The sequence below is a fragment of the Homo sapiens genome, chromosome 15, assembly GCF_000001405.40.
Source record: "Homo sapiens chromosome 15, GRCh38.p14 Primary Assembly".
NCBI lineage: Eukaryota > Metazoa > Chordata > Mammalia > Primates > Hominidae > Homo > Homo sapiens.
In genome coordinates, this window is record NC_000015.10 from 36,549,414 (window position 1) to 36,562,543 (window position 13,130).

A 13,130-nucleotide genomic window follows, 5' to 3' on the forward strand; every position below is an offset into this window, starting at 1 on the left:
GAGATATTAAGGGTAAGTGACCACAGCTGGAAAGACTCACTAGCAAGTGGTACTGACTCCTCCCCATATGCTACGTTAGCCTTGATGGCAACAATGGAGTTTGAAGTTTTTGAACAAAGGAATTATTGATTTCTTGGTTTAAACTTGCCACCTTATCCCTAGTTGCAATGTAGTAATTGCCACTTTGTGAACGGCTCTTTACAAGTCTTAAATCAAGCATACTTATATAGAGGATCTTGAATTATATGGTTAACATATAATCTTCAGAGCATGGAATTTTTGAGTTAGCACACCATGTTACACAGGGCTCTAGAGGGCTGAAACTAGCTTTCTGGTTATTAATGGCATAAACGGAGCTCTAGAGTCAAATATATAGAAGCATGAGCTGATATCAAGAAAGCAGTATTTGAGTAGTATCTGAAGTCCTAGGAGTGACAACTTCTGCAAACTGCCCATTTATCTCAAAAGCCTCCAACTCTCATCCAACTTTAAGTACTCTACAACTATTCCATGTCTTCTGGTTCACCTTGTAGTCTCTCACCGAACTCCAGCTCTGAATCTCTTTCTGTCTGTCATATACTTTCTTTATGGGTAATCAATCAATTGAACTGCTATTATTGACAGGTGAGAAAGAGCTTTAAAAAGCAAAAGATGTCAACTTCAAGAATAATAATAGGAACCAGAATAAAGCCAAACCAGCTTATTCTTACCTTGAAACCAAATTCAAGTCCATTAAAAAATAGTAACAGTCACACATCCAAAAGTAAGTCACAAGCAACCTAAATAAATACCTAATTATTTCAAAGCACACCATGCCTCACGCCCAATAACTTCTTTTGAAACCAGCTTTCTTTATTTCTGTCTGTATGAACCATACATCAACTCTTTCTCCTCCCTGTTTTTAAGAATCCGGATCCTCTGCCACCAAACCCAGCTCTTGTTAGCATGTAGGCTCTTGCCCTTTTTCTCCCCTGCTTATCCTCCCAACAAGGTCTGTTCTTTTCTCCAACTACTGCTGCACTCTCTCCTTTTCTATGTGAATTAATATTTTCTGTTTTCTTCAGCTCTCTACTTAGCCTATCAACACCACAATAATCACAGGCAAGAAAGAGAAAGCGGAGGCGAGAGGAAAAGATTATGAACAGTCAGGTTTAAGAGGTTTGGCTGTCATAAAAATTAAGATTTAAAACTTGAAAAATTCCCCAAGTTTTAAACACTGTCTGAACTTGATAGCATATAAGTAATGAGCAAAAACATTTAAAACCCTCCTAAATATTTTGTACACCTGGATATGCCCCCCAGGAAATTCCTAGCAGTGACTGCTGCTTTAATTTTCCCCAAGTATGGCAGACAATAGTGAAGAATTCCTGTCAGTCCTCTCCCATGAATTCAGTTTCAAAGCTGTTAGCACAACACTAGTATTTCAACATTCCTTTGGCTTTACCATCTTTATGTTCATTTTAAATTAAGAAGTCTGAAGCAGATCTTATCAAATCCATGATATTGTTAAGAGCACTTCAAGGTCCTTTTAAAAACAAGAATTACTTACATCAACCTACTTTATTGCTTCATTTTTCTGACTCTAAAGGACACAAAGTATACTAAAGCAATTTAACGTGGCTGTAACCTACAATTTTAACTTACCCTGAGGGGCCATTTCACCTCTTGTTTTACTTTTCCAGACCAAATCAATAGAGGGAAGAATCATGTCAAGACACATGTCATAATTGTATTAAAGGTCAATGAGGTTTAAAGAAATTGGGCTCTACTCATCAATAATTGGCCCACAATTTGTGCCAAGGTATAGGGTGAAATGCTATTCACCTGAAACATCTCTAAGTTTATTCTACCTATTGTTGGCACCTGAGGGAACTATAACTAAACATATGCTTAGGGTCTGAAAGTCAGCGATCAACAAAGACTTTCTCTTAAGAAAGTAAGAGGTAATAATTCAGCAAGAAACTTGCACAGTCCACCTTCTTCATCACAAAAGATGTTAAAGTAGACTCTTGGTGTTCGCAGACCTAACAGTGAGGGACTTACTGTTAGCAAGCTCAAAGATCTTCGCTATCATGCAATTTGCAACTTTGCTGAGGCATGAGTTTAAATTTCAGGTGATATAAAGTTGGTGTAGAAAAATTGGCACAACTCTGGGAAAGGGATCCTCAATAGCTGTGCAGTATCTAAGTATGCCCTCAGCTTTCTCGTCCTCTACTTAATATCACATAGATTGTAACTGCCACTAAGGCTCTAAAAGGGTCTTTAAATTCCTCAGCTGGAATTCACTGTGCTCGGGGAAATTTGGGTAGTGGTAGTATTTGTACACTTGAAGAATTACAAAGGGACCCAGTATTGGAATGGGAAGTACAGGGAAGCTAATGAGGGAGCTCCTGGGAGGCGTTTCTTGTCTTATAAGGCACAGGCATGAGTAGATGGCTCAATGGTGCTGTCCATTCCCCTCTTCTTATCTTGAAGAATAACCAGATACCTAGATCTGTGACAGCCACCTTGCAGCTGTGAAGTGACAGGCCAGAAAATAAAAATCTAATACACTAAGTATGGTGGAGAGGAAAGAGAAAGAGCTTGGGCCCTTTAAGAAACTGTTAAACGAAATAGTCTATTAAAAGAAATAGTCTGCCACCTATGTCCAGACTTACTTTGTGAGACAATTAAATGTCCCTATTGTGAGAAGCTGAAAGCATTCCTGTTGATACAGTGGTGAGCAATAGTGTCCCTCCTCCTCAAGGAGTATAATTGATTCAAGGAAATAATACAAGAACTCAAATGACTTTGACGACTAGTAGAGAAATATATATATATATGCCATGTGAAAAGTGAAAACAAAGTGCTATGAAGGCTTACTGTTGGGAGGGACCTTTTCTACCTGGGGTAAACTGAGAAAGCAAAGGCCTGGTGAGGTCATGGAGAGAACCAGTTGAGGCAGGAAGGGGAGCTCTCACAGAGATCTGCATTTATCTTCTGGCTCTGCCACATACAAGCTGTGCAATCTTGAACATGTAGTTTGGACTCCTTAGAATTTCAATTCCTTTGGAGGGTTTCATTGGCTATCAGCAAAACTTTGGGTAAAGAACCTAGACCAAGTAAGCAGTCATGAAGTAGCAGCTATTATTTTTAAAGAAATAGTATAGTATTCCACAGCCTATTTTCACCAGAGAAACTAGACCGTCGATTCCAATCTGCCCTAACTCATGAATATGATCCAATCGAAATGAGACTTATTACAATGGTCAATTAAAACAGGCAGTGCCTATTTAATGACTGCAGTAAACAAAAAAGGAAGAATCAATATTCTCCCCACCCAACATCCCCCTGTAGATGAAATGAATATTACTGCTTCTGCAGATAAAGATTTAGAATTCATGTTTTCTCCAGGTAATGTTGAGAAGTTTTACCTCATTAAGTTCTCACATTAAGTCCAATAACATGTATTATTATCTACATTTTACAGATGAGAAAGCTGAAGTTCCTATAATTTAAAAAATGACTTTAAATCAGACATCTACTTGAATAGAAGATGAAACTTGTACTTATTGTATCTAATTTTAAAACCTTCTTTCTTATCACTACATCATACTGCTTCCAGTTAGAATCAAATCCATTCTCTTCCCCATGTTCTTAACTGGTTTGAGTGTTTAGGCATATGGCAAGATTGTTCTCTCTCTCTTTCCTTCAAACACTGCCACCACCAGAGTTGGTTGTCCATATTTACATTCATGGAAGTGGTGTTGTCGAAAAGATCAGAACTGATGTTTATTGGGCACCTACTATGTGCCATTAATGGTGCCGGGCAGGTTACAGCACATTTATTCCTCAGAACAATGTAAAAGGTAGATATTACCGCCCCTATTTACCGCAAAAAGAGACTCAGAGTTTAAGAGGTTAAATACTGATTTTCTTGCATAAAATAAGAGATAATAAGTGAGAGGGTCAGAACCCAAACTCAGTTCTGCCTAAATCTGAAGTTCAAGTCTTTTCTCTACACAAGTTTCCCTCTTCAACATCCCTCTACCCTCCACTTCATATTTTCATCACCAACTCACTCCCCAGCTCAGCTGCAGCCTTAAAAATAAAAGCCTGCATTCCCAGAATAGGAAAAAACAAAATGAACCTCATTTATAAAGATTTTCCCTTGGTTGATCAACCAGTAGCTCCCTAGAAGTTTGACTCAAAAAACTTGTTTTATCTTGCCTAACTTGGAATTCATGCAGCACCAAAGCACTATCTGGAAGGCATTTGCTGAAAATATTTATAGGCAATAAATAAGAGTTGGGGCAATGGGTCAAAGAAGCAATCACAAAGAAAATAAGAAAATACTTTGAGATGAATGAAAAACAAAAACACAACATATCAAAATATGGGATGCAGCAGAAGCAGTGTTCAGAGAGAAATTTATAGCTGTAAACAACTACATTATAAGAGAAGAAAGATCTTAAGTCAATAACCTAACTTTCCACAATAAGAAACAAAAAGAAAGGGAAAAGAACATGATAAACTGAAAACAAAGAGAAAGAAGATATAAAAATATTAGGGTGGAGATATAAACAAAATAGAGAATAGGAAATATAGAAATAAATGAAATCAAAAGGTGGTACTTTTGATTTTTTCAAAGATTAAAAAATGACAAGTCTTTAGCTATACTGAAAAAAAGAGAAGACTCAAATTATTAAAATCAGAAGTGAAAGTGGGAACATTACTACCAACCTTTCAGAAATAAAAAGGATAAGAGAATGCAATGAAGAGTTGTATGTCAAGAAATTGGATAACCCAAATGAAATGGACAAATTTCTTGAAATATACATGTTATCAAAACTCACTAAAAAAAAAAAAAACTAAATAGACTATAACAAGTAGAGACAATTGGTAATCAAAAATTGCAATGAAGAAAAGCCCAGAATCAGATGTATTCACTTGTGAATTGTACTAAATCTTTAAAGGACACCAAACCGTTTCAAACACTATTTTTTTTTTGAGATGGAGTCTTGCTCTGTTGCCCAGGCTGGAGTGCAGTGGCACAATCTCAGCTCACTGCAACCTCCACCCCCCAGGTTCAAGCGATTCTCTTGCCTCAGCCTCCCAAGTACCTTGGATTACAGGTGTGTGCCACCATGCCCAGCTAATTTTTTTTTTTTTTGTATTTTCAGTAGAGACAGGGTTTCACCATTTTGGCCAGGCTGGTCTCAAACTCCTGACCTCAGATGATCCACCCGCCTCGGCCTCCCAGAGTTCTGGGATTACAGGCATGAGCCACCGTGCCCAACCTCAAACCCTTTAAAAATATAAGAAGGAACATTTCTTAACTCATTTTATGAGGATCCTATTACCTTGATATCAAAACTAGGTAAAGACACTACAAGAAAAGAAAAATACAGACCAATATCCCTTAACAAAATACTAGCAAACCAAATCTAGGAGCATATTAAATGAATTAAATCTTGTCAAGATGATAAGCAGTTTATCCCAGGAATGCAAAGTTGGTTCAACAGGAAAAAAATTAATCGATGTAATACATCATATTAGTAGAATAAAAGGGGGAAAACCCCACATGAGCATCTCCATAAACAGAAGGATGCGATAAAATCTAATACCCTTTCATGATAAAAACACTCAACAAACTAAGAATAGAAGGGAACTTCCCCAGCCTGATGAAGGTAATTTATGAAAAACCCACAACTAACATTACACTTAATGGTTAAAGACTGAAAGCTTTTTCCTTAAGATCAGTAAAAAGACAAGGATGTCTACTCTTGCCATTTCTATTCATATCATTAAGGGAAATGATATAGAAAGCCCTAAAGGAGTAAAAAATATGAAACCTATTAGCGCTAATAAACAAGTTCAATAAAGTTCCAGTGCACAAGATTGATACACAAAAGTAAGTTATATTTTTATACATTAGCCAGCAACAATCCAAAAATGAAATTACGAAAACAACTTACTAACAATAACATCGAAAATAATTGAATAGAAGTAAATTTAACCAAGGAAGTGAAGAAAACTTCAAAACATTGTTAAAATAAATTAAAGACCTAAATGAATAAAAGGTCATGCTATATTCATTAAGTGAAAGACTTAATATTGTTAGGATGGCAGTACTACCGAAATCTGTAGATTCAATGAAATCTGTGTCTGTATTAATGCAATCTATACATCTATAGTCAATTTGATTTTTTTTTTTTTTTTTGGAGATGGAGTCTCGCTCTGTTGCCCAGGCTGGAGTGCGGTGGCACCATCTTGGCTCACTGCAACCTCTGCCTCCTGGGTTCAAGTGATTCTCCAGCTCAGCCTCCTGAGTAGCTGGGATTACAGACACACACCACCACACCTGGCTAATTTTTGTATTTTTAATAGGGACAGAGTTTCACCATGTTGGCCAGGCTGGTCTTGAACAGCAGCCTCAAGTGATCCACCTGCCTCAGCCTCCCGAAGTGCTGGGATTACAGGCATGAGCCAGCGCACCCAGCTCAATTAATTTTTGACAATGGTGCCAAGACTATTCAATAAAGAAAAAATAGTTTTTTTAAGAAATGCCACTGGGACAATTGGATGTCCATATGTAAATAACTGGACCCCATACCTAACACCACATATAAAAATTAATCTCAGAATTGACCAAATACACAAAGCTTATGGAAACATAGATGTAAATCTTCATAACCTTGGATCAGGCAATTTTTCTTTTTTTTGAGACGGAGTTTTGCTCCTCAGGTGATCCTCCCACCTTGGCCTCCCAAAGTGCTGGGATTACAGGCATGAGCCACCGTGCCCAGCCTGGGTGATATTTCTTAACTATGATACCAAAACATAAGCAACAAAACAATATAGATAAGTTGGACTTAATCAAAATTAAAAATGTTTGTGCATCAAAGGACACTCTCAAGAAAGTGAAAAGATAATCCACAAGGTGAAAGAACATTTTTATAAATCATATATCTGATAAAGTTCTCATGCCCAGAATATATTTTATATAAAGAACAATAAAAATTCCTCAAAAGTATTTAAAAACAAGTGAAGTAAAAACAGACAAAAAGGAACAATGAAAAGTCAATCTAATTAAAAACTGGAAAAAAGACAGCCAGGCGCGGTGGCTCACGCCTGTAATCCCAGCACTTTAGGAGGCAGGTGGATGGATCACCTGAGCTCAAGTTTGAGACCAGCCTGACCAACATGGTGAATCCTCGTCTCTACTAAATACAAAAAATTAGCTGGGCATGGTGGCACACGCCTGTAATCCCAGCTACTTGGGAGAGTGAGGCAGGAGAATCGCTTAACCTGGGAGATGGAGGTTACAGTGATCCGAGATTGTGCCATCGCACTCCAGCCTGGGCAACAAGAGAGAAACTCCATCCCAAACAACAACAACAACAACAACAACAACAACAACAACAACAACAACAAACTGGACAAAGGATATTTTGGACAAACAGCTATTTCTCCAAAAAAGATATACAAATGGCAAATAAATGCATGAACAGGTTAGCCACATCATTAGTCATTAGGGAAATGCAGATCAAAACCACAATGAAATATACACTAATAAAACATACACTTAATAAAATATACACTTAATAAAACATACACTAAATTGGTTATAATTTTACAAATAGGAATTAATAACTCTTGGTGAGGATATGAAGAAATTGGAACCTGCATACATTACTAGTGAAAAATTCCAATCTTATGTATGTACCCAAAAGGACTGAAAGCATATGTTTGCACAAAAACTCGCACATGAGTTTGACTATTTTTTTCACATTGAATAGTCTTGGCACCATTGTCAACAATCAATTGACTATAGATGTATAGATTTAATTAATATAGACATAGATTGCATTGAGTCTATAGATTTGGGTAGTATTGCCATCTTAAACAATATTAAGTCTTTCAGCAATATGTTCATAATAATCAAATAATGGAAACAAACCAAATGTTCATCAACTGATACACGGATTTTTAAAATGTGATATATCCATACAGTAGAATACTATTCATTGATGAAAAGGAGTGTGTAATGATACAGGCTACAATATGGATGCACCTTGAAAACATTATGCTGAATGAAAAAAGTCAGACACAGAAGGTTACATATTGTTTAAGTTCATTTACATGCAATGCCCAGAGGAGGCAAATATATAGAAACAGAAAGTAAATTAGTGGTTGCCAGAGAATGGGGGAGTTAACACATAAAAATCCCATTCTATATGCCAAGTCCTCTGCTAAGTCCTTTGCAGATATTATCTCATCTGTTCACTGCAGATAGGTACAAGTATTATCCTGCTTTTATATTATATCTGGCAAAATTGGAGCATGAAAATGATTAAGTAAATTCATACATCTAGTATGTAGCAGAACTAGAAGGTAAGCTTAGGTCTTGCCAACTTTAAGCCTGGAATCTCAAAGGTGGTATGCAGGAGCTGAATCCTACAAGCTTGAAAACTAATTGCCTGCATCTTTTCCCAACTTCAAGTTCAGTAACTTCATGTTCACAGACTGAAATTGGCTATGGTGGAAATATTATGTATTTACATAGTGGAAATTGGCAAATACTACAAATCAGGGTTGTTTTTTCTGAACAGTTTACTAGCTCTCAACCACTATATTAATCAGCCTCCATAGGCAAATAAATATAATGGCTTATTTTAAAAACACCCAATTAATACATTAAGAAAGTTCTATATATTAAGTCAAGAGAAAATTCATTTAAAATTTTGGGCTATAATCTATCCACTTTATACCTACTATATACTGATATAAACAATTTTTCTAATTTTGGATTTGTGAGATGTTTTATTCCAAAATTCACATGTTATCGCAAGAAATTTTTAGAAAGGTAAATATGGTGATTTGTAATCAGAACTGGGTATCAGAAACTACTAATATCCACATTGTTATGTATGTTTTGCCATTTTCTGGAGTAGGCTATTAGCTGGAAACCTGAAAAATGATTTATAAATACTAAATATATAATTTTTACCTGAAGTATTTTTCTTTTACAAAGTGGAATTTGAGGAAAAAGGTACTACACCTATTTCTTCATAATAAACAATGTGTCTAAAGCAAAATTACTTAGATGCAATGTGACTTATGAAAGCATGAATTTGTTTTAAAGGGAGGTCACATTACAGATACAAAGAAATGAGAACATCCGGATTTATTTCCCCTCCTTTCATTAAGCATGAGCAAACAAATTCCGTTTGAAATTTTCTGAATCTAGTATCTTCCTGAGTTTAAAATTTTTAATTGGTGGAAGTCTTTATGACCATTCTGCAAATCTCTACTTTTAAAAATTAATTCATACACATTATATCGGTAGGTATTCTTCATTCATGGGAAAAAGGGGATTGGGTTTCTAACTGGATCTTTCAAAGGTTCAGGTAGCTGTGTGTATTCTAAAGTGAAAGCTAAGGAACACTTTTTCAAACGTTTGAATCCTAAATCATGTCAATCTGATAAAATATGCTAATATTCCTCAGATAAATAAAGTATGACAGTTCTGAGACAAGCAATCACAATTCTGTAGCATTTCCCACTAAAAGTGTTGTTAGATTTGTTTGTAAGATTTAACTAAGCCTAATCATATCTTGACTAATATTTTTGCCAAGGGAAGAAAATAGTTGTGTGAAGAAAAGGCAATGGAGTTTTGTGGTTAAGCATGTAGATTTGGAGCCAAAATACCTCGTTCACATCTCACTTAACCAATTGTTTGATGTTGGGCAAATTGACAATATTCTCTCAGCCTCTGTTTCTCCTGCCAAAATTTTCAGCGATAACATGTATAAAGCCCTTAGCACAGCCTAAAGACAAAGTACTTTATATATGCTAACTGTATTATTAAATGGGTACCTTGGCTCATTGGATAATCGAATGACATTTCTCTAGGTCATTTTGTTGTGCTTTATTACGATTACATCGATTATAAGTAATTCTTTATAGGAAGTTATTATAAAGAAATAGTAAAAATGGCTGGGTGCAGTGGCTCACGCCTATAATGTCAGCACATTGGGAAGCCGAGGTGGGCACATCACGAGGTCATGAGTTCGAGACCAGCCTCTACTAAAAATACAAAATTTAGGTGGGCGTGGTGGTGCACACCTGCAATCCCAGCTACTGGGGAGGCTGAGGCAGGAGAATGGCTTGAACCCAGGAGGCAGAGGTTGCAGTGAGCTGAGATCATGCCACTGCACTCCAGCCTGGGTGACAAAAGCAAGACTCCATCTCAAAAAAAAGAAAGAAAGAAAGAAAGAAAGAAAGAAAGAAAGAAAGAAAGAAAGAAGAAAGAAAGAGTAAGATAAAAGTTTCAGCATTTAGCCACGTTCCAGTTACTAGTTGAAGTACCTTCCATATTCTGGTTTTTAATCCTCATGATAATCTATGAAGCAGATATTATTATCTCATTTTACAGCTGGAGCTGGACACTGTGGCCCAGGGGAGTTAAGTAGTTTACCAAAGCCCATATAGCTTTTAAATGGTAGAGCCAGGATCTGAATGGATATAAGATTTGAACAGGATCTAGCGTCAGTGTTCTTCACCACTATATTATGTTGCCTCTCCTTGATGTAGCTTTAATAATCTCTAAAGATCTAATTTCTGCCCATACAAAAAAAGAGACAGGTAAAATAAAATACACTAGACACTTCAAATCTTCTTTGGATGCAACTGAGAAAGAAATTGCATGTGTATATATATATGTACAGACTATGTTAAAATTCCGTGCTTCCCTCTGGCAATAGAGAAGGTGATTTTATAAGATTCCACTGCCATGAAAAGAGATTGATTCAATTGGCCACATATGAAAATTGATCTCATTGTCATACAGTGTACATACTACCTAGATACCTAAAACAAACTGAAGTCCATGGTGCTGCAAGTGGAGAGGAGAACTCTAAAGAGAGGTCCACCAGCTGTTGGGGCAAGGGTCAGAGCAGCAGGACCTTCTAGTGTGTCCCTGGATCAATGGGTTTTGGAGTTTTTAGAACATGATTTTAATAATCACCCAAATTGATAAGTCTCAGAGAGACTTATTCATCTTAATCAAAACTAAAAGTACACAAGCAAGAAACAAACATGACTGGAATTCTCCTATCAGCTCATTAATTGTTTTTCTTCTTTGTAGGCAAGATATGAGAAATGAAATTAATATCCAAGTTTGCTTACTAAGTAAAATCAGAACATTCCTGGCTGCAGTGGTTTTAAACTGTGGCTTCTTCTCTTGAGCTTTTTATCTTTCTTTATGTTAGATAAAGGAAGACTGAACCTACTATTTCTCAGAGAAATAAAACAATCTCTTATTATATCTGTCAACTACTGTAAGATGTTGTCAAATCTTCAACTTTTCAAAAAAATAAAGTTAAGTATCTCTCATATCCTAGGCACTAAGTGATATGGTTTGGCTGTGTCCCCACCCAAATCTCATCTTGATTGTTGCTCCCGTAATCCCCATGTGTCAAGGGTGAACCAGGTGGAGAAAATTGACACATGGGGGTAGTAGTTTCCCCCATGCTGTTCTCATGATAATGAGTTAGTTCTCATGAGATCTGATGGTTTTATAAGGGTCTTCCGCATTCACTTAGCATTCATGCTCTCTCCTGCTGCCCTGGGAAGAGGTGTCATCCACACTGATTATAAGTTTCCTGAAGCGTCACCAGTCATGCAGAAATGTGAGTCAATTAAACGTCTTTCCTTTATAAATTACCCAGTCTTGGGTATATCTTTATTAGCAGCAAGGGAACAGACTAATAAACTGGTACTGTTGGTACTAATAAATTGGCACTAAGTGGGGTGCTGCTATAAGGATACCCAAAAATGTGGAAGAACTTTGGAACTGGGTAAGAGGCAGAGGTTGGAACAGTTTGGAGGGCTCCGAAATAGACAGAAAAATGTGGGAAAGTTGGGAATTTCCTACGGATTTGTTGAATGGCTCTGACCAAAATGCTGATAGTGATATGGACAATGAAGTCCAGGATGAGGTGGTCTTAGATGGAGATGAGGAACTTGTTGGGAACTGGAGCAAAGGTCATTCTTTCTGTGCTTGAGCAAAGAGACTGGCAGCTTTTTGCCCCTGCCTTAGAGAGATCTGTGGAACTTTGAACTTGAAAGAGATGACTTGGCATACCTGGTAGAAGAAATTTCTAAGCAGCAAAGCATTCAAGAGGAAGCAGAGCATAAAAGTTTGGAAAATTTGCAGCCTGATGATGTGATAAAAAAGAAAAACCAATTTTCTAGGGAGATATTTAAGCCAGCTGCAGAAATTTCCATAAGCAAGGAGGAGCCTGATATTAATCACTAAGACAATAGGGAAAATGTCTCCAAGGTCTGTCAGAGACTTTAATGACAGCTTCTCCCATCATAGGCGCAGAGGCCTAGGAGGGAAAAATGGTTTCCTGGGCCAGTCTGTTCTGGCAGCCCAACCATGGCTAAAAGGGGCCAAGGTAGAGCTCAGGACATTGCTTCAGAGGCTGCAAGCCCCCAGCCTTGGCAGCTCCTATGTGGTGTTGGTCTTGTGGGTGCACAGAAGACAAGAACTAAGGTTTGGGAACCTCTGCTAGATTTCAGAGGCTGTATGGAAATGCCTGGATATCAAGGCAGAAGTTTGCTGCAGGGGCAGAGCCCTCATGGAGAACCTCTGCTAGGGCAGTGCAGAAGGAAAATGTGGGGTCAGAGTCCCCACACAGAGTTCCCACTGCGGCACTGCCTAGTGGAGCTGTGAGAAGAGGGCAACCATCCTTCAGACACCAGAATGATAGATACACCAATAGCTTGCACAATGTGCCTGGAAAAACCACAGACACCCAATGAAAGCAACTAGGAGAGGGGTTGCACCTTGCAAAGCCACAGGGGCAGAGCTACTCAAGGCTGTGGGAGCCCACTTCTTGCATCAGCATGACTTGGATGTGAAGCATGGAGTCAAAGGAGATCATTTTGGAATTTTAAGATTTAATGATTGCCCTGTTGGATTTCAGACTTGCATGGGGCCTGTAGCCCCTTCGTTTTGGCCAATTTCTCCCATTTGGAATGGGTGTAGTGACCCAGTGCCTGTACCCCCATTATATCTAGGAAGTAACTAACTTGCTTTTGATTTTACAGGCTCATAGGCAGAAGGGACTTGACCTATT